The 22,655-nt window shown below is 45.2% G+C and overlaps 1 annotated feature.

Annotated features, from left to right (window-relative positions):
• Nucleotides 14,924-15,133: an enhancer, noted in NCBI's record as "active region_1778". NCBI's record gives its function as "activates an Ori minimal core promoter by ATAC-STARR-seq in GM12878 lymphoblastoid cells {active_cell/tissue: GM12878}" and the evidence as "EXISTENCE:reporter gene assay evidence [ECO:0000049][PMID:35858748]".

Genomic DNA, 22,655 nt, shown 5'->3' with positions numbered 1-22,655 from the left:
AGACAGAGGTCTAATAACAGAACTCAGTGTCTGGCCAGTGGCATCCCTCAGAGTCAGGCCCCAGCCAGGGCCCACTGAGGGCCTCAGCCTGCCTGTGGAGACCCTCGCTTTCACAGTGGAGGAATGCAGCATCCCTGGCTCCGGCAGCATGACAGTCTGGCTCCCCATTGCCTCACCAGGTGAGTTTACACCCAGAAAAGGGATTTGTTTAGCACCATTCTCAGAAAGGGTTCATAAAAGTTTATCCCCTTCTTGTAATATTTAGAGAATGTTATGATTTTTAACTGCTAAAAAGCATCACAGTTATAGCTGGGCATAGTGGCACATGCCTGTAGTCTCAGCTGCTTGGGAGATTGAGGCAGGAGAACTGCATGAGCCCAGGAGGTCAAGGCTGCAGTGACCTATGATTACACCTTTGGCACTCCAGCCTGGGCCACCGAGCAAGACCCCGTCTTTAAAAATAAAAATAAAAATAGGGCCAGGCACAATGCCTCACACCTGTAATCCCAACACTTTGGGAGGCCAAGGCGGGCAGATCATCTGAGGTCAGGAGTTTGAGATCAGCCTGGCCATCATGGTGAAACCCCATCTTTACTAAAAATACAAAAATTAGCCTGGCCTGGTGGCGCATTCCTGTAATCCCAGCTACTTGGGAGGCTGAGGCACAAGAATCTCTTGAACCCAGGAGGCGGAGGTTACAGTGAGCCAAGATTGTGCCACTGCACTCCAGCCTGGGCAACAGAGCAAGACTCTGTCTCAATAAATAAATAAATAAATAAATAAATAAATAAATAAATAGCATCACAATTAAAATTAAATGTAGAATTGTCATATAATCCGGCAGTTCCACTTCTGGATATATTCACAAAAAAATTGAAAGCAGGGACTCAAACAGATATTTGTACACCCGTATTTTTAGCAGCATTATTTACAATAGCCAAAAAGTAGAAACAATTCAAAAGTCCATCAAGAGATGAATGGATAAAAAAATGTGGTATGTACATATAATGAAATATTACTCAGTCTTAAAAAGGAAGGAAATTCTGACATATGCTACAACATGATAAACCTTGAAGACATTATGCTAAGTGAAATAAACCAGACACAAAAGGACAAATATTATATGATTTCATTTATATGAGGTACCTAGAGTAGTCAAATTAATAGAGATAGGAAGCAGAGTGGTAGCTGCCAGGGGTTAGTAGGAGGAGAGCGGGAAGTTATTGTTTAATGGGTACAGAACTTCCGTTTTTGCAAGATGAAAAGAGTTCTGGAGATGGATAGTGGTTATAGTTTCACAATAATGTGCATGTGCTTAATGCCACTGAACCATTTAAAAAATGGTTAAAATGCCCAAATGAGGGGGATTGCTTGAGGCCAGGCGTTCAAGGCTAGCCTGGTCAACATAGCAAGACCCTATCTCTACAAAAAATTTAAAAATTAGCCGGACATGGTGACCCACATCTGTAGTCCCAGCTACTTGGAAAGATAGCTTGAGGCAAGGAGTTTGAGGATGCAGCAAGCTATGACGGCGCCACTGTACTCCAGCCTGGGGGACAGAAAAAGACCTTCCTTATCTTAAATAAATAAATAAAAAGCTAAAATGGGAAATTTCATGTTTTGTATATTTTACCACATTTTTAATAAAGCATCGCAATTATAAAATTAAACAAGCTAGATGCTTGGAAATCCAGAAAACAGATTGCATTATTGAGTTGGTGGGGAAGGGAAGATAACTCATATTTTTAAAGGATATATAACGAGATTCCTTAAAGATAGTGCACTTTTTTTGGTGCACTATACAATATAATTCTATGAACACAAACTCTGGAGCCAAAGTGTCTGGGTTCAAATCTTAGCTCTGCCACTTATCAGCTGTTTGTCTCTGAACAAGTCACTCAACTTCTCTGTGTCTCAATGTCGTCATCTAAAAAATAGGGGGGAAGTACCCTCATAGAATTCTAATGGGAATTAAATTAGTTAACATATGTAAAACATTTATAACAATGACAATACATGATAAACTCTATATGAGGGTTTGTTAAATAAATGTAAATAAGTAAACTTTCCCAAAACGTATTCTTTCTAGACACAGAAGTTCATCCAAATGTTTTTTAAAATATAATTCATTATATCACCCATAAAATGAAGATGTTGAAGTAGAATTTGGTCATTAGCTGCTCTGTGAGGCCCCTTCTCAGAAGCTGCATGGATTTAAAATGGAAGGCCATTGGTAGCAGGTCTTCTGATGACATCGTTTAGGTCAATGTTTTGAAATTATATATATATATATATATATTTTTTTTTTTTTTTTTTTTTTTTTTTTTTTGAGACAGAGTTTCACTCTTGTTGCCCAGGCTGGAGTGCAATGGCACGATCTCGGCCCACTGCAACCGCCGCCTCCTGAGTTCAAGCGATTCTCCTGCCTCAGCCTCCCAAGTAGCTGGGATTACAGGAATGTGCCACCATGCCTGGCTAATTTTTGTATTTTTAGTAGAGATGGGGTTTCACCACGTTGGTCAGGCTGGTCTCCAACTCCTGACCTCAGGTAATCCAGCCGCGTGGGCCTCCCAAAGTGCTGGGATTACAGGTGTGAGCCACTGTGCCTGGCCGAAATAATATTTTTTTGAGATGACGTCTTGCTCTGTTGCCGCCCAGGCTGGTGCAGTGGCGCCATCTTGGCTCACTGCAACCTCTGCCTTCTGGATTCAAGCGATTCTCCTGCCTTAGCCTCCCGAGTAGCTGGGACTACAGGTGCACACCACCACACCAGGCTAAGTGATAATTTTAATAAGGAAAAAAAATAGATTCCCAGCCTGGGCCCCTGTCTGTGTGGAGTTTGCATGCTTCCCCCATATCTGTGTGGGTTTTCTTCTGGTACTCTGGGATGTGCCCGTTATGTTAATTAGCATGTCTAAACTGTCCCAGTCTGAGAGAGACATAGAGAGAGAGAGCGAGAGAGAGAGAGAGTGTGTGTGTGTGTGTGTGTGTGTACCCTGTGATGGGATAGTGTGTACCCTGTGATGGGATAGCGTCCTGTCTGGGGCTGTTTCTTGCCTTGCACCAAGTTGCTGTGATAGGTTCCAGGCTCCGCCACCCACAACAGAGACACTAAACTGAAATAAATGGGTACATAATTTTCTTCATTGCTTTTATTAATCTTTCTTAAATGTATATATAGCTCACATTTATTTCAATGTTTGATATTAGCAGTGTTTGGGGTCTTTATTTAGAAGTTTGGTTACATCTTTGTGACCAGAAATGTCGTAGAAACTTAACTCTAGTTCATATCAATTGGCCTATGGTAAAATTGGTTTCATTATACGTTGTTTTGCTTAAAGTCACAGTTTTCGAGAACCTGTTAACAAGGTTAAGTGAGGACTTACTGTACTAGCTGACTTAACAGTTTCAGTCGGGTTTGCTTCTGCTGTTAACAGTAATCTCTTGTCAGAGCTAGGGCCCTGCAGTTACTACCTCTGCCTGCCATTGTACCTTTCCTGGAAGATAGTCTAAACTTGGACTTCACACATATGCGTGAGCTATTTGCTCTTACACTTCCCAGCAGAGGCTGCATTATGCTGTGGATTTGTGCAGAATGAGGGTTGAGTAATAATTACCCTTCACTTGCCAATCATGTGTTCCATTTGCATTCATTATTAGCATGCTCTTTAGCAATCATTTGTCTATGCCGAGCTATTTATGTAGACACAGACATGTAAGCAGATTCCTGAGCCAAACTGCCTGAGTTCAAATCTAGCTCTGCCATTGACCAGCTGGGACCTTGGATGCTGTAATTTTATCTAAACTTCACTGTCCTTTTCTATAAAATGGGAATATTAAGAGTGTCTACTGCACAGGGTTATTGTGAGGATTAACTGAGAAAACTACCTACAGTACTTAATACAATCCTGGCACCCAGTAAATGCTCAGCCTGATAATGACAATAATCTGTACATATGGTAACCTCATCCATTCCAGGGAGAAGAGGAAGAAGGTGGATATTAGTTAGAATCGATTTTTTTCTGTTAAGTGAAATTTCCCTCCAAGGAAAAAACCTTATTTATATTAACCATTACATAAATCTTTTTTTCTAAACATGCTGTACAATTTTCTGGCCCATAAAATGGATTAGGCTGACCATAATTTTAATAAATTTGAAGCAATACAGCATAAAGATTAAAAGTTTTTTCAGCACCATAGGAAAGGTAAAAAACAAAATAAAAATAAGGCTGGGCGCGGTGGCTCACGCCTGTAATCCCAAAACTTTGAGAGGCCAAGGCAAGCGGATCACCTGAGGGCAGGAGTTTGAGAGCAGCCTGGCCAACAGGGAAAAACCTCATTGCTACTAAAATTACAAAAATTAGGTCGGGCGCGGTGTCTCACACCTGTAATCCTAGCACTTTGGGAGGCTGAGGTGAGCAGGTCACTTGAGGTCAGGAGTTCAAGACCAGCCTGGCCAACATGGTGAATACAAAATACAAAAATTGGCCGGATGTGGTGGTGCACACCTGTAATCTCAGCTACTTGGGAAGCTGAGGCAGGAGAATCACTTGAACTTGGGAGGTGGGGGTTGCAGTGAGCTGAGATCCCCCACCGCCACTACACTCCAATCTGGGCCACAGAGTGAGACTCCATCTCCAAAAAAATATATACAAATACAAAAATTAGTGGGGCGTGGTGGTGCATGTCTGTAATCCCAGCTACTCTGGAGGCTGAGGCATGAGAATCTCTTGAACCCAGGAGGCCAAGGTTGCAGTGAGCCAAGATCATGCCACCGCACTCCAGCCTGGGTGACAGAGCAAGATTCCATCTCAAATAAATAAAGTATTTGAACTTGCTATAATCAAAAAGTCATATAATAACAAGTGTTCGTGGGCAAGCTAATTTAATTTTTGTATGTTTAGTAGAGATGGGGTTTCACCATGTTGGCCAGGCTGGCCTCAAACTCCTGACCTCAGGTGATTCACACTCCTCGGCCTCCCAAAGTGCTGTGATTACAGACGTGAGCCACTGCATCCAGCCTGATAATTATTCATTAATGACAGCCATGTGCCAGACTTTTTTTGCCCCTCTCCCCACTACAACAAATTCAAAGATAAATAAGGCACAGATTTTGCCCTTCTCATCTAATGCTAATATCTCCAAGGATTACTCCTACCCCTCTTCTCTAGAACCTTAAGCCGTGAGTTATCCCTCTCTTCTCCTGTGTTAAACCTCTCCCTCTCCAGTGAATCCTACCAATCAGCATTTAACATGCTATAGTCTCTCCCATCTTAAGAAGCAACTTTCCCTGTGCTACCACTACCTGCCTGACATCTGCAGTTGGAGATCTCATACACATCTCAAACTCAACATATCCAAACCCGAGCCTCATCTTCCTGTCACTACTTGCTCTCCCCTTATATTCTCTATCTAAGGGACTTGTCCCACCATTTGCTCATGTCAGAAACCTAAGAATCATCCTTAACTCCTTCTTCCTCTCCTCTGTCATCCAGTTCTTACAATGTTGCTTCAACCTCGAGAAGAGATTTCAAATCCATCTGCCTCTCTCCACATTCACTGCTACCATACATGTCCAAGTTAACTACCATCTCTCTCAGACTTCTAAAGTATGAACCACTGATTTCTCCCATTAAGTATTTCCACTTCAATCTATTCTCCCCATTTCAGCCAGGATGCTTTAAAAACATGTAAATTAGATCATGTTATTTTTCTGCTTAAAATCCTTCTACACATTCCCATGGGCACTGTGTCTGTCTAGCCATTGCTTTATCTTCAGTGCATAAAACAATACTAGGCACAGAGTAGGCACTCAATAAATAATTGTTTTATGAATAAAAAGTTATATTCATGACTTTATTCAAGGTCTTATTTAATAAATGTGGAAGTAAGAATGAAGGCCGTATTTTTAAAAACCCACAGCTAACATATTTCATGGTGAAGGAATAAAAGCTTTTCTCTCTAAGATCTGAAACAAGACAAGTATGCCCACTTTTGCCACTTCTGTTCAACATAATATAACAATTTGTAGCCAGAGCAATAAGGCAAGAAAAAGAAATTAAAGGCATCCAAATTGGAAAGAAAGAAGTAAAAAAAAAAAATTTTTTTTTTTTTTGAGACAGAGTCTCGCTCTGTCACCCAGGCTGGAGTACAGTGTTGCGATCTCAGCTCACTGCAAGCTCTGCCTCCCGGGTTCACGCCATTCTCCTGCCTCAGCCTCCCGAGTAGCTGGGACTACAGGCGCCTGCCACCACACCTGGCTAATTTTCTGTATTGTTAGTAGAGATGGGGTTTCACCGTGGTCTCGATCTCCTGACCTCGTGATCTGCCTGCCTTGGCCTCCCAAAGTGCTGGGATTACAGGCGTGAGCCACCGCACTGGGCCAGAAAGAAGTAAAATTATCTCTGCTCACAGATGACATGATCTGATATGTAGAAAACTCTAGGCCGGGTGCGGTGGCTCACGTCTGTAATCCCAGCACTTTGCGGGGGCTGAGGCAGGAGGATCACGAGGTCAGGAGATCGAGACCATCTTGGCCAACATGGTGAAACCCCATCTCTACTAAAAATACAAAAATTAACCAGGTGTGATGGCAGGCGCCTGCAGTCCCAGCTACTCGGGAGGCTGAGGCACAAGAATCGCTTGAACCCAGGAGGCGGAGGTTGCAGAGAGCCGAGATTGCACCTTTGCACTCCAGCCTGGCAAAAGAGCGAGACTCCGTCCAAAAAAGAAAAAGAAATTGCTAAAGATTACACACACACACACACACACACACACAAATACAAATAAACAGCTAATAAATGAATTCGGTAAAGTTGCAGGACACAAAATCAACACATATGACTTCCTGATGGTAATTTTTTTAAATTAAATTTTAAAAATTAAAAGAAAACAAGATTAACTCATAAAAGTTAGTTGCATTTCCATACACTAGCAATGAACAATCAGAAAAAGAAATTAAACTTTTTTTTCATTTACAATAGCATCAAAAAAAGTAAAATACTTGAGAATATATTTTACCAAGGAGGTAAAAGACTTGTACATAGAATACTGCAAAACATTGCTGAAATAAATAAGAAGACCCAAATAAATAGAAAGACATCTCATGTTCATGGATTGGAAGACTTAATATGGTTAAGACAACAATACTACCCCAAATAACCTACAGACTCAATGTAATTCCTATCAAAATCCCAACAGCAATTAGCAAGGCATGGTGATGCACACCTGTAGTCCACCACCTCAGGAGACTAAGGTGGATCACTTGAGCCCAGGAGTTCAAAGCTACAGTGAACTCTGATTGTGCCACTGCATTCCAGTCGGAGCAACAGAGAGAGACTATGGAAAAGAAAAAAAAAAATCTCAACAGCAATTTTTGCAGAAATAGAAAAAATCCTAAAATCTCAAAAAATCCTAAATAGCCAAAACAATCCTGGGAAAAAGGAGCAAAGTTGGAGAGCTTAACATTTTCTAATTTTAAAACTCACTATAAAATTAGCCGGGCGTAGTGGCGGGCGCCTGTAGTCCCAGCTACTTGGGAAGCTGAGGCAGGAGAATGGCGTGAACCCGGGAGGCGGAGCTTGCAGTGAGCCGAGATCCCGCCACTGCACTCCAGCCTGGGCGACAGAGCGAGACTCCGTCTCAAAAAAAAAAAAAAAAAAACTCACTATAAAGCTACAGTACTCAAAACAATATGGGAGGCTGGGCAAGGTGGCTCATGCTTGTAATCCCACCATTTTGGGAGGCCAAGGTGGGCAGATCACTTGAGGCTGGGAGTTCGAGACCAGCCTGGCCAACATGGTGAAAACTTGTCTACTCAAAATACAAAAATTACCCAGGCATGGTGGTGGGCACCTGTAATCCCAGTTACTTAGGATGCTGAGGCAGGAGAATTGCTTGAACCCAGGAAGCGGAGGTTGCAGTGAACCGAGATCACACCACTGCACTCCAGCCTGGGCGACAGAGCAAGACTCTGTCTCAAAAAAACAAAACAAAACAAAAGACAACCTACAGATTGGGAGAAAGTATTTGCAAATCATATATCTGGTAAGGGGATTAATATCCAGAATATATAGAGAACTCCCACAACTCAACAACAAAAAGAAACAACCCAATTTGGCCGGGTGCGGTGGCTCATGCCTGTAATCCTAGCACTCTGGGAGGCCAAGGCAGGTGGATCACCTGAGGTCAGGAGTTAGAGAGCAGCCTGGCCAACATGGTGAAACCCTGTCTCTACTAAAAATACAAAAATTAGCCAGAAATTGCTTGAACCTCGGAGGCGGAGGTTGCAGTGAGCAAAGAACGTGCCACTGCACTTCAGCCTGGGCAATAGAGTGAGACTCCGCCTCAAAAAAAAAAGAAAGAAAGAAAGAAACAACCCAATTAAAAAATGGGCAAAACCAGTCTGGCCAACATGGCAAAACCCCATCTCTACTAAAAATACAAAAATTAGCTAGGTATGGTGACGCACACCTATAGTCCCAGCTACTTGGGAGGCTGAGGTAAGAGGATCACTTGAACCCTAAAGGCGAAGGTTGCAGTGAGCCAAGATGGCACTACTGCACTCCAGCCTGGGTGACAGAGCAAGACCCTGCCTTAAAAAAAAAAGGGGGTGGAGGCAAAAGACTAAAATAGACATTTCCCCAAAGAAGTTATACAAATGACCAACAAGCACATAAAAATATGTTCAATCAACATCATTAGCCATCAAGGAAATGCAAATCAAAACTATAATGAGACCATAGCCATTAGGATGATGGCTGCTATTCAAAGAAACAGGAAAATAACAACTCTTGGTGAGGACGTGGAGAAACTGGAATCCTTGTGCATTGCTGGTGGGAGTGTAAAGTGGTGCAGCATCTGGGGAAATGTTTGGTGGTTCCTTAAAAATTAAAAGTAGAATTACCATATGGCCCAGCACAATAGTGTGCACCTATAGTCCTAGCTACTCAGGAGGCTACATGAGCCTTGCTTGAGCCAAGGAGTTCCAGTCCAGCCTGGGCAACATAACAAGATCCTGTCTCTAAAAAATAAAAAAAGCCCAGTGTGGTGGCTCGCACCTGTAATCCCAGCACCTTGGGAGGCCAAGGCTGAGGTCAGGAGTTCAAGACCAGCCTGACCAATGTGGAGAAACCTCATCTCTACTAAAAACACAAAAATTAGCTGGGCATGGTGGCGCATGCCTGTAATCCCAGCTACTGGGGAGGCTGAGGCAGGAGAATCGCTTGAACCCAGGAGGCAGACGTTGTGGTGAACTGAGATCACGCCATTGCACTCCAGCCTGGGCAACAAAAGCGAAACTCCGTCTCAACATAAATAAATAAATAAATAATAAAAATAAAAATAAAAAAAATTTAAAGAACCCAGACAAGTCTAATTTTCTCTCTTTCTTTCTTTCTTTTTTTTTTTTTTTTGAGATGGGGTCTTGCTCTGTTGCCCAGGCTGGAGTGCAGTGGTGCGATCTCAGCTCACTGCAACCTCTGCCTCCCAGGTTCAAGCAATTCTCCTGCCTCAGCTTCCCGAATAGCTAGGATTACAGGCGCGTGCCACCACGCCCAGCTAATTTTTTTGTATTTTTTTTGTATTTTTTTTATTTTTATTTATTTATTTTTTTGAGACAGAGTCTTGCTCTGTCGCCCAGGCTGGAGTGCAGTGACACGATCTCGGCTCACTGCAGACTCCGCCTCCTGGGTTCATGCGATTCTCCTGCCTCAGACTCCCGAGCAGCTGGGACCACAGGCCCCTGCCACCACGCCTGGCTAATTTTTGTAATTTTTGTAGAGACAGGGTTTCACCATGTTGGCCAGCTGGTCTTGAACTCCTGGCCTCAGGTGATCTGCCCTCCTTGGCCTCCCAAAGTGCTGGGATTATAGGCGTGAGCCACCACACCCAGCCAGAAAGTGTTAAAGCCCATGATGACTGCACCATCACGGCTGCTGGAGCCTCCACTGCTGCTATGATTCTCATTGGAATCACTGCACATATCACCTTGCAGGGAAGGAGTGCATTCCTGCTGTTGTTACAGGAGCCCAAAGTCACACCACTGTTGCTGCCTCCTCCAGCCCCAGAGTCCACAATCACTGTGCTGCTGTGGCCGCAATCACTGTGCTGGTGAAGCAAGGAATCTAGGAGCCTACATCCACCTGCTGCTGCCACTGTCAGAGGAACTGCCAAAAGAAGAGAACAAGAAGACCTCTTCCTTTAGCTTCCCTTCTAATCTTTCACCAGGGGCACCCATTGCAGAACCTAGCCAGAAGTCAGCTGGAAAGAGAGTCAGAGGAAAGTAGCTTGCAGTTTCCCAGTTCCTTACAATACAACCAAAGCAAGGAAGTGCAGTGTGATGGTTAATTTTACGTGTTGCTGGCATGTTGATTCATGCCTGTAATCCTAGCATTCTGGGAGGCAGAGGCAAGATGATTGCTTGAAGCTAGGAGTTTGAGAAAAGGCTGGGCAATGTGGCAAGACCCCATTTCTACAAAAAATTTTAAATTGCTGGGTGTGATGTCTCACAACTGCAATCCCAGCACTTTGGGAGACCCACGTGGGAAGGTTGTTTAAGCCCAAGAGTTCATGACAAGCCTGGGCAAGATAGCGAGACCTGTCTCTACTAAACAATTAGCCAGGCGTGGTGGTACGTGCCTGTAATCGCAGCTACTCTGGAGGCTGAGGCACAAGAATCTCTCGAACCCAGAAGGTAGAGTGTTGTCACTGCATTCCAGCCTGGGCAACGGAACAAGACTCTGTCTAAAAAAAAAAAAAAAAAAAAAAAATTAGCCAGGCGTGGTGGCACACCTACTCAAAAGGCTGAGGTGGGAGAATCGCTTGAGCCCAGGAGTTCAAGGCTATGATCAATTCATTGCACCCCAGCCTGGGTGACAGAGTGAGATCTTGTCTCAAAAAAAAAAAAAAAGTGTGAATTTCAGTGGGCCATGGCATACCTCAAACATTATTATGAGAGTTTCTGTAAGGATGTTTTAAGGGTAGCTTTTTTTTTTTTTTTTTTTTTTGAGACAGGGTCTCGCTTCGTCACCCAGGCTGGAGTACAGTGGCACCATCTTGGCTCACTGCAACTGCCGCCTCCTGGGTTCAAGCCATTCTCCTGTCTCAGCCTCCCAAGTAGCTGGGATTACAAGCGTTCGCCACCATGCCTGGCTAATTTTTGTATTATTAGTAGAGACGGGGTTTCACCATGTTGGCCAGGCTGGTCTCAAACTCCTGACCTCAAGTAATCCACCCACCTCTGCCTCCCAAAGTGCTGGGATTACAGGCATAAATCACCGCACCCAGCCTGTAAGGGTGTTTTTGGATGAGGTTAACATTTAGGCCAGGTGTGGTGGTTTACACCTGTAATCCCAGCAGTTTGGGAGGCTGAGATAGGTGGATCCCTTGAGCCCAGGAGTTCAAGATCTCGAGACCAGCCTGGGCAAAATGGCAAAACCACATCTCTACAAAAAAATACAGCAATTAGCCAGGCACGGTGGTATGCGCCTGTGGTTTCAGCTACCCAGGAGGCTGAGGTGGGAGGATCACCTGAGCCTGGGAGGTGGAGGTTGCAGTGAGCTGAGATCATGCCACTGCACTCCAGCCTGGGTGACAGAGTCCCTATCTCAAAAAAAAAAAAAAAATAAGAAAAAAAAGCTGGGCGCAGTGGTTCATGCCTGTAATCCCAGCACGTTGGGAGGCCAAGGCAGGCGGATCACCTGAAGTCAGGAGTTCCACACCAGCCTGGCCAACATGGTGAAAGATTTCTTTCTTTTTTTTTTTTTTTTTTGAGATGGAGTCTCGCTCTGTTGCCCAGGCTGGAGTGCAATGGCAAGATCCTGGCTCACTGTAACCTCCGCCTCCCGGGTTCAAGCAATTCTCCTGCCTCTGCCTCCTGAGTAGCTGGGATTACAGGTGTGTACCACCGCACCCAGCTAATTTTTGTATTTTTAGTAGAGATGGGGTTTCACCATGTTGGTCAGGCTGGTCTCGAACTCCTGACCTCATGATCTGCCTGCCTTGGCCCCCCAAAGTCCTGGGATTACAGCTGTGAGCCACCACGCCTGGCCAGTGAAACCACATTTCTACTAAAAATACAAAATTAGCTGGGAGTGGTGGTGGGTGCCTGTAATCCCAGCTACTTGGGAGGCTGAGGCAGGAGAATCACTTGAACCCAGGAAGTGGAGGTTACAGTGAGCTGAGATCGTGCCATTGCACTCTAACCTGGGCAACAGAGTGAGACCCTGTCCCAAATAAATAAATTAATAAATAATTTAAATTTTTTTTAAATAATTAAACTGAGTAAAGCACATTGTCCTCCCTAATGTGGATAGTTCTCATCCAATCAGTTGAAGGCCTGAATAGAGCATAAAGTCTGACTCTTCCCCGAGTAAGAATTCTTCCTGCCTGACTGCCTTTGAAACAGAGAACATTGGCTTTTTCCTACCTTTGAACTGAACATCAGCTCTTCCTGAGTGTCAAGACTTTCACCCTTCAGGCTGGAACTCCACCATCAGCTCTCCTAGGTTTCCAGCTTGCAGACTCACCCTACAGATCTTTGGATTTACCAGTAAAAAAAGCCTCCGTAATTGCACAAACCAATTCCTTTATATATATATAAAATATTACCTATTAATATAATATGTTTTATATAGTATATAGAGAGAAGATATATATTCTATATATACAGAAGATATGTATCTATAACATATAGATATGTATTTATATATAAGATGTATATTCTATATATACAGAAGATATATATTCTGTATATTCATACGTATATATAGAAGATAAATATATATTCTATTTCTCTGGAGAACCTTTACTAATACAGGTGGGCAGGAATGGAGGTGAGAAAAAAATGGCCATCATTAAAGTTTGAAAGTTCTCATTTAGTTTGAGGGCAGCAGACTCATAGTAGAGTTGACCTTCAGCTGGGCCTTAAAGGTATCATTTCTTTTTTTTGTTTGTTTAGATGGAGTCTCACTCTGTCGCCCAGGCTGGAGTCCAGTGGCGTGATCTCGGCTCACGGCAACCTCCATCCTCCCAGGTTCAAGCAATTCTCTGCCTCAGCCTCCCAAGTAGCTGGGATTACAGGCGCCACCACGCCCAGCTAAGTTTTTGTATTTTAAGTAGAGACGGGGTTTCACCATCTTGGCCAGGCTGGTCTTGAACTCCTGACCTTGTGATCCACCCGCCTCAGCCTCCCAAAGTGCTGGGATTACAGGCATGAGCCACCACACCCGGCCAAAGATATCATTTCTATAAGTAGAGATGGATGGATTGGAGAGGTGAGGGAGAAGATAGAGAAAACTCCAAGCAGAAGCAACAGTATGAGCAAAGACACAGGAAAATTCTGGCTGCATTCAAAAAATAAAGCATTACATTAGTACAGCACTTTATAGTTTACTGTTTCCACACACCCTATTGAGGCATCATATAGGAAGCAATAAAAATTGGGACTCAGACGGGTTTGGCCAAGATTGTGCCACTGCACTCCAGCCTGGGCGACAGAGCGAGGCTCTGTCTCAAAAAAAAAAGAAAAAAGAAAATTGGGACCTAATAGAGAATAAACTTCTCAAAGGACCCATGTACCTAGACCTCAGTTGCTATTTCCCACCCCTAAGCCCATGGTCTCTAGAGTTAAGTACAATCTACTCAGCCAGGTGCGGGGGCTCACGCCTGTAATCCCAGCACTTTGGGAAGCCGAGGCGGGCAGATCACCTGAGGTCTGGAGTTCAAGACCAGCCTGACCAACATGGTGAAACCCCGTCTCTACTAAAAATACAAAATTAGCCCGGCGTGGTGGCACATACCTGTAATCCCAGCTACTCAGGAGGCTGAGGCAGGAGTATCGCTTGAACCTGGGAGGCGGAGGTTACGGTGAGCCAAGATTGCACCATTGCACTCCATCCTGGGCAACAAGAGCAAAACTCCGTCTCAAAAAAAGAAAAAAGTACAATCTACTCAAACACTTACCAGTCTGGCCCCATGATGCCTTTTCTTCCTCTTTCTTCTGAGTCCTCTCTCAAATATACTGTGTTTCAGCCAAAGAAGATTTGAAAATTCCAGATGTACCCCAGGAACCAAAAAACCCTCTGGGTTTAGGTGACAACTGATGTAGCCAACTTGAAATACCCAAATCCTGGCCAGGCACAGTGGCTCACGCCTATAATCCCAGCACTCTAGGAGGCTGAGGCGGTGAATCATTTGAAGTCAGGAGTTCAAGACCAGCCTGGCCAACATGGTGAAACTCCCTCGCTACTAAAAATACAAAAATTAGCTGGGTGGGGTGGTGCATGCCTCTAGCTGCAGCTACTCGGGAGGCTGAGGCAGGAAAATCTCTTGAACCCGGGAGGTGGAGGTTGTAGTGAGCCAAGATCATGCCACTGCACTCCAGCCTGGGCGACAGAGCGAGACTATTGTCTCAAAAAAAACCAAAAAAACAAACAAAAAAAAAAAACAAAAAAGGCCAAATCCTAAATGACCAGCAGAGAAAACTGAGAAGCAACCCATCTATTCATAAAATCCTCAAAACGCTCATGAACTGGCAGCTCCAAGTACCTCTGGAACTGAGTTTGTGTGTCTCTGAGTGTGTGAGTGTGCAAACAAGGAGGACTGGTTGAAAGCTGTTTGAGAAGCACCCTTCATTACTGAGTAACTACCCCTCCCTCCCTCCCACAGAAATCTGCAAGCTTGTTCTCTGTACAGGATAAAACAGAGAGTCTCTGAACTGGGTGATACCAGGCACATTTGACAGCATGGCTATGGCTTGTAAACTCGGGAACTAAGGGACTGCGTATGCCAAATGCCCCAGGCTAAGACCCACAGCCCTCTGCCTCCTTTCGGGGGCCAGAACACTGGCAGGCTGGCCTGTTCCCTCCTAGAAGGAGATTCTTCTCTGGGTAACCTGACTGGCCCCAGACGAAAGACCTAAAGATCCAGACATGTGGGGACTCCCCCAGCAAACAGTCCCGTCCAGATGCCCACCATGTGAGCTTCCAATCAGCGCCTTCGTTCCCATGTCAGAGCTTTCTCTTTGCTACTCCCCACCCACGCTGCCTGGCCCTCTGCACTGGGGGTATTCCAGGAAGAGACCACATGAGCAATACCCCACACCCTCTGACTAGCAGTTGGTCTAGACAACGCAGAACCCGGAAGACCAGAGGGAGGAGGAGCGTGAGATCAAGATATCTGTTCCTCTGGTTCTTCTCTTAGAGGGTTCCTCTCTTAGGCTGCCTGTGTCTCTCAACCAAAGGTTATAGCTCTCCTATACTCTGTCTTTGTAAATGGCCATTTTGTAAAGAAATCCTCCTAAAATAATCCTAACTTGAGTAAACCATATGTTTACTGTAAGGACTTAACTGATATTTGCCTGTCTTATAAATAATCAGTCAAAGATCACCAGACAGCTGAAAAAAACCTCAGACATGGAAGATAAAAACAAATGAGCAAAAAGCAGACTGAAAAGCAATTTGCAGAAATAGTTTCTACACAGGAAGAAGAAAACTTCAAAAGAAAAATATCAAATAATACTTCAGAGAGGCCAGGCACAGTTGCTCACACCTGTAATTCCAGCACTTTGGGAGGCTGAGGTAGGTGGATCACCTAAGGTCAGGAGTTTGAGACCAGCCTGGTCAACATAGTGAAGCCTCGTCTCTACTAAAAATACAAAAATTACCCAGGCATGGTGGCGCGTGCCTGTAATCCCACCTACTCAGGAGGCTGAGGCAGGAGAATCGCTTGAACCTGGGAGGTGGAGTTTGCCGTGAGCCGAGATCGTGCCATTGCACTCTAGCCTGGACAACAAGAGCGAAACTCCGTCTCAAAAAAAAAAAAAAAAACAGGAGAACAGGAGGACACATGAGTTTGGAGCTTCATACAAACGTGTGGTCAATAACAGAACAGGCCTGTATTTACCTGTGTACAAAAACGCCTGTGTGTCTGCAGCTACAGACAACCTACTATGAAACCACTAATCATTTCCTCATTGCTTTCGGATTCAGGCTTCTCCTCCAGACATGCTTAGCTGTGGTTTAGGAGCTGCTACGCTTATGGGGTCTTTCCAGTGTCTTCCTAGCGCCTTCCTTTCCTCTCCCAACCCCTACGCCCTCTGCCCTCAGGGTTCCCAGGTTAAACAATCAAGATACACACTTCCGCCTCTAGGCACCACGCCCCATCCTCTTCCTGGAGCTCCACCCACAACAAGGTACTGAAGAGGAGGAAGTAGAGAGGAAGAACACTAGATTATTGAATAAATAACCTGAGAATTGAATAAATTGGAAGTTAGCCCTATTGTTAATCTTTGAACCATGGGAAATGGTAGCATGGGAAGAATGACCCCTAAAGCCACTGAGTTGGGGTGGGGCTGGCTCTCCTCCACTTAAAACCCCTCAGGGCTCTGGCTTATTCCCAGAATAAGGCTGAAATCCCTTCACCGAGAAAAGGGTTCTCCAGAAGTCACCCTGCTTTTCTCTCCTGCCTCATCTCTTGCCACTTTCTCCTTGTTATCTGGGCTCCAGCCACAATAAACAATGTTCTTGCAGACAAGAGCATTGACTTCATGTGGGCAAGTGTGGCTCTTGTCCCGGGCCTCATGGTTAGAGGGCCCTGAATTATTCACACATGTGCACACACACATTTAACACACACTGCTCCTCTGTCATTAGGGATCGGGTGCTTTTTGCTGACTTAGAGAAACCCCATGCCTGAAACCTACTCATCTGCTCTCAGGAGAGGTAGTAATTGTCACTGCTCATTGATAAACACTCCCTGTCTTCATTGGAGCAGGCCCAGGGGTTGTTGGGTTTAACTCCATCCCAAATTCCAGAGATGAGCCAGGTTGATGTAAGCTAGTCAGGGGATCTCCCTCCACCTGTCTCTTCCCTGTACCTACAAGCATGCACAAACAGGGCACAGCACTTCCCTGGTCAAAGGGCTTGGTTCGATTGAGGATAGAGCAGTGGATGGCACAGGAGACACCCCCCTCCCTTGCTCTGAATCAGGCAGAGTGTAGATGTGAGGCCTGGGAATGATAACAGCCATTTAGTTCCCCCAAGATAAGCCAGACTTGGAACATTGCCACTTGACACCCCCATTACCCAAAGACAACTGGAGATAGCTGAGCTAAAGCTCAAGCATCGTCATTTGGAGGTTGGTTGGTTCGTTTGTTTGTTTGTTTGTTTTGAGACAGGGTCTCTGTCACCTGGGCTGGAATGCAGTGGCATGATCTCGGCTCGCTGCAACCTCTGCCTCTCGGTTTCAAGCGATTCTCCTGCCTCAGCCTCCCCAGTAGCTGGGATTACAGGCGTGCACCACCATGCCCAGCTAATTTTTGTATTTTTAGTAGAGATGGAGTTTCACCATGTTGCCCAGGCTGGTCTTGAACTCCTGACCTCAAGTGATCTGCCTACCTCGGCCTCCAAAAGTGCTGGAATTACAGGCATGAGCCACAGTGCCACTGCACTCCAGTCTGGGCGATAGAGGGAGACTTTGTCTTAAAAAAGGGCCAGGTGCAGTGGCTCACTTCTGTAATCCCAGCACTTTGGGAGGCCGAGGCGGGCAGATCATCTGAGGTCAGGAGTTCGAGACCAACCTGGCCAACATTGTGAAACCCCATCTCTACTAAAAATACAAAAATTATCCAGGTGTAGTAGCTCACGCCTGTATTCCTAGCAACTCGGGAGGCTGAGTCATGAGAATCGCTTGAACCTGGGAGGCAGAGAATGCAGTGAGCCGAGATCACGCCATTGTACTCCAGCCTGGATGACAGAGCAAGACTCTGTCTCCAAAAAAAAAAAAAAAAAGAAAGAAAAAGGAAAAGAAAACCATTGCCCTCAGGTCACATCTGGCCTACTACCTATTTTTGTACAGCATGTGATGGTAAATTTCATGAACATAAAAGACACACGGGCACACGTTACAAAATAGTACATACTACATGATTCCATTTATATAAGGTGCAAAAATGATCTATAGTGTTGGGGATCAGGATACAGGCTACCTTTGGGGAGATGGGGAATAGTGTCTGAGACAGGACACAAAGGGATGTTTGTTTGTTTGTTTGTTTGTTTTTGAGATGGAGTCTTGCTCTGTAACCCAGGCTGGAGTGCAGTGGTGCCATCTTGACTCACTGCAATCTCCATCTCCCAAATTCAAGCGATTCTACTGCCTCAGACTCCCGAGTAGCTGGGATTACAAGCGTGCACCACCACGCCTGACTAATTTTTGTATTTTAGTAGAGACGGGGTTTCACCATGTTTATCAGGCTGGTCTTGAACTCCTGACCTCAGGTGATCCACCTGCCTTGCCCTCCCAAAGAGCTGGGATTACAGGCATGAGCCACGGCACCCAGCCAAATAGTATTTTTATATACCTTTTTATTAAAATATATTATACGTAGCTGTGAAGTGCATTAATGTGAAGTGCATAGTTCAATAAAGCTTTGCATAGGAATACATCCAGGAAAGCACCACCCAGATTAAGATATAGAACTTTTTTTTTTTTTTTTTTCAGACGGAGTTTCACTCTTGTTGCCCAGGCTCGAGTGCAATGGCACAATCTTGGCTCACCGCAACTTCCACCTCCTGGGTTCAGGCGATTCTCTTGCCTCAGCCTCCGGAATAGCTGGGATTACAGGCATGTGCCACCACGAACAGCTAATTTTTGTATTTTTAGTAGAGACAGGGTTTCTCCATGTTGGTCAGGCTGGTCTTTAACTCCTGACCTCAGGTGATCCGCCCACCTTGGCTTCCCAAAGTGCTGGGATTACAGGTGTGAGCCACTGAGCCTGGCAAGATATAGAACATTTCCGTATCTAATAAAGACATCACAGATTGTTCCTCCCTACCCCCACCCTTCCACCCCCTCAAAGGTTAACCATGGATTTGTTTTGCCTCTCTTGATTCTAGCATAAATGAAGTCACACACAGTTACCTTTTGTGTCTGGCTTATTTTGTTCAGCAGAATGAATGTGAGATTAATTCATGCTGTTGGGTTATCTATTGCTCATTCTTTCTATTGCCATATATTACCTCATTATATGAATATAAAATGTGTTTATTCTCCAGGTGATACTCTTGAGCTATTTTGACATTTTGGCTGCTGTGAGTAATGTTGCTGTAAACAATCTTGAACTTGTCTTTTGATGGACATATGCACGTCCTTCTCTCACCTAAGAAGTGAATTTTCTGGTCATAGGGTGGGCATACTTTTAGATTTAGTAGTTAGCTAATACAGTGGTAGATGCTGCCAAACTGTTTTCCAAAGTGTATGAACCCACCAGGCATGGTCAGTGATCACGTCTGTAATCCTAGCACTTTGGGAGTACAAGGGGGGAGGATGGCTTGAGCCCAGGAGTTCGAGACCAGCCTGGACAACATAATGAGACCCTGTCTCTTAAAAAAACAAAAACACTGCTAAATTTGACCGGCTTTAAAAATATATTTAAAACAAGTTTTTAAAAAGTGCATGAACCAATTTACAATCCCACCAGCAAAATATAAAAGTCATAGTTGCTTCACATTCTTGTCAACACTTGGTATTGCCATTCTATTTTAGTTCTTCTAGTTATGTAGTAGTGTCTACTTGTGGTTTTAATGACATTTCCCTGTGGTTAAATACATTTCATATTTATTGTCCCTTTGGATATCATCTTTTTTTGAAATGCCCATTAAAATATTATGCCCATTTTTTAGATGGATTACTTGTCTTTTATTTATTTATTTGTAGTTATTTATATATTCCAATGTAAATTGTTTGGGTATGTGTAATTCAAATATCTTCTGCCAGTGAAGCTGCATCTTCACTCAGTGATGACTTTTTTTTTTTCTTTTTGAAACAGAGTTTAGCTCTTGTTGCCCAGGCTGGAGTGCAGTGGCGCGATCTCAGCTCACTGCAACCTCTGCCTCCCAGGTTCAGGCGATTCTTCTGCCTCAGCCTCCTGAATAGCTGGGATTACAGGCATGCACCACCATGGCCTGCTAATTTTGTATTTTTAGTAGTGACGAGGTTTCTCCACGTTGGTCAGACTGATCTCGAACTCCTGACCTCAGGTGATCCGCCCGCCTTGGCCTCCCAAAGTGCTGGGATTACAGGCGTGGGCCACCGTGCTCGGCCATTGATGACTTTTAAGAAACAGCAGTGGCCAGGCACGGTGGCTCACACCTATAATCCCAGCACTTTGGGAGGCCAAGGTGGGTGGATCACGAGTTCAGGAGATCAAGACCATTCTGGCTAACACGGTGAAACCCCATCTCTACTAAAAATACAAAAAAATCTAGCCAGGCATGGTGGTGGGTGCCTGTATTCCCAGCTACTCAGGAGGCTGAGGCAGGAGAATGGCGTGAACCTGGGAGGCGGAGCTTTTAGTGAGCTGAGATCGTGCCACTGCACTCCAGCCTGGGCGACAGAGCAAGACTCGTCTCAAAAAAAAAAAAGAAAAGAAAAACAAGAAACAGCAGTTCTGGGGCTGGCATGGTGGCTCACGCCTGTAATCCCAGCACTTTGGGAGGCCGAGGCGGGCGGATCATGAGGTCAGGAGATCAAGTCCAGCCTGGCTAACGTGGTGAAACCCCGTCTCTACTAAAAATACAAAAATTTAGCTAGGTGTGGTGGCACGCAGCAGTGGTCCCAGTGACTTGGGAGGCTGAGGCAGGAGAATCACTTGAACCCAGGAGGCAGAGGTTGCAGTGAGCCGAGATTGCGCCACTGCACTTCAGCCTGGGTGACAGAGTGAGATTGCATCTCAAAAAGAAAGAGAGAGAGAGAGAGAGAGAGAGGGAGGGAGGGAGGGAGGGAGAGAGAGAGAGAGAGAGAGAGAAAGAAAGAAAGAAAGAAAGAAAGAGAAAGAAAGAAAGAAAGAAAGAAAGAAAGAAAGAAAGAAAGAAAGAAACATACATCACTTCTTGGCTGACTGGGTGCACTGCCTATGAGTTAGCCCTACTCTACAAGGAGCAGTAAAAAATAGATATATAAAAATACATTTTAAAAAAAGGAAACAGAAGTTCTTCATTTTAATAAAATTTCTTTCTGTTGATATTTTAATTTTATGGTTAATACTTTTGTGTCTTCTTTAAATCTTTCTCTACTTCAAGGTCATAAAAATAGACTTGTTTTCTTCTAGGAGATATATTGTTTTACCTTGACCATTTTGGCCTATGATTTGTTTTGAATCAATTTTTCTTGGTACATGATGTGAGGTAGGGGTCAATATTTATTTTTTCCATATATATCCAACAACTCCAGCACTATTTATTCAAAAGAACATCTAATTGTTTATAGTATATAGAAACAGAAATAATTGGCTAGTCTCAGTGGTTCACATCTATAATCCTAGCTCTTTGGGAGGCCAAGGTGGGTAGATTACTTGAGTCCAGGAGTTTGAGATCAGCCTGGGCAACACGGGGAAACCCCATCTCTACAAAAAATAAAAAAATTAGCCAGGACTGGTGGCACCTGCCTATAGTCCCAGTTGCTTGGGAGGCTGAGGTGGGGAGGATAGCTTGAGCTCAGGAGGCTGAGGTTACAGTGAGCCAAGATTGTGCCAGTGCACTTTAGCCTGGGTGATAGAGCAAAACTCTGTGTCAAAAGAAAAAAAAAGGGAATACAATTAATTGGCATGGGTGAACAAGGTCAGGTCCAGGGACTCTGGCACCTTGCTGCTTAAGAAATGTCTTCCCTTAGTGAGGAGTGCCTCTGCCTGGCCGCCAACTATCTGGGAAGTGATGAGGGCCTCTGCCCGGCCGCCCCACTGTCTGGGATGTGAGGAGTGCCTCTGCCTGGCTGCCGCCCCATCTGGGAAGTGAGGAGCACCTCTGCCCAGCTCCCCACAGTCCGGGAAGTAAGGAACGCCTCTGCCCAGCCGCCAACTGTCTGGGAAGTGAGGATCGCCTTTGCCTGGCTCCTGCCCCATCTGGGAAGTGAGGAGCGCCTCTGCTTGGCCGCCAACTGTCTGGGAAGTGAGGATCGCCTTTGCCTGGCTCCTGCCCCATCTGGGAAGTGAGGAGCGCCTCTGCTTGGCCGCCAACTGTCTGGGAAGTGAGGAGTGCCTCTGCCTGGCCGCCAACCATCTGGGAAGTGAGGAGTGCCTTTGCCTGGCTGCCCTCCCATCCGGGGAAGTGAGGAGTGCCTTTGCCTGGCCGCCAACCGTCTGAGAAGTGAGGAGCGCCTCTGCCCAGCCGCCAACCATCTGGGAAGTAAGGAGCATCTCTGCCCAGCTGCCAACTGTCTGGGAAGTAAGGAGGGCCTCTGCCTGGCTGCCAACCGTCCAGGAAGTGAGGAGCGCCTCTGCTCGGCTGCCAACCGTCTGGGAAGTGAGGAGCGCCTTTGCCTGGCTGCTGCCCCATCTGGGAAGTGAGGAGCGCCTCCGCTTGGCCGCCAACCGTCCGGGAAGTGAGGAGCGCCTCTGCCAGGCTTCTGCCCCATCTGGCAAGTGAAGAGCACCACTGCCCGGCCGCCCCACCGTCTGGGAAGTGAGGAGCGCCTCTGCCCGGCCTCTGTGCAACCTTCCAAGTGTGAAGTGACAGCCTTGTGTGTGATCTTTTCTGTCTTCCCCAAGTTTGCATTTTTGACATTAAAGTTTACTTTTTAATTAAAAAAAGAAATTTAAAAAAAAAGAGATGTCTTCTCTTTCAGAATGTGCCTTGCACACGTGCTCTTCTGAATGCCTGGCT

This window comes from Homo sapiens, chromosome 1 (genome assembly GCF_000001405.40).
Source record: "Homo sapiens chromosome 1, GRCh38.p14 Primary Assembly".
Lineage (NCBI taxonomy): Eukaryota > Metazoa > Chordata > Mammalia > Primates > Hominidae > Homo > Homo sapiens.
Note: the sequence above shows the minus strand (reverse complement) of the source record. Positions and strands in the feature narration are given on the sequence as shown.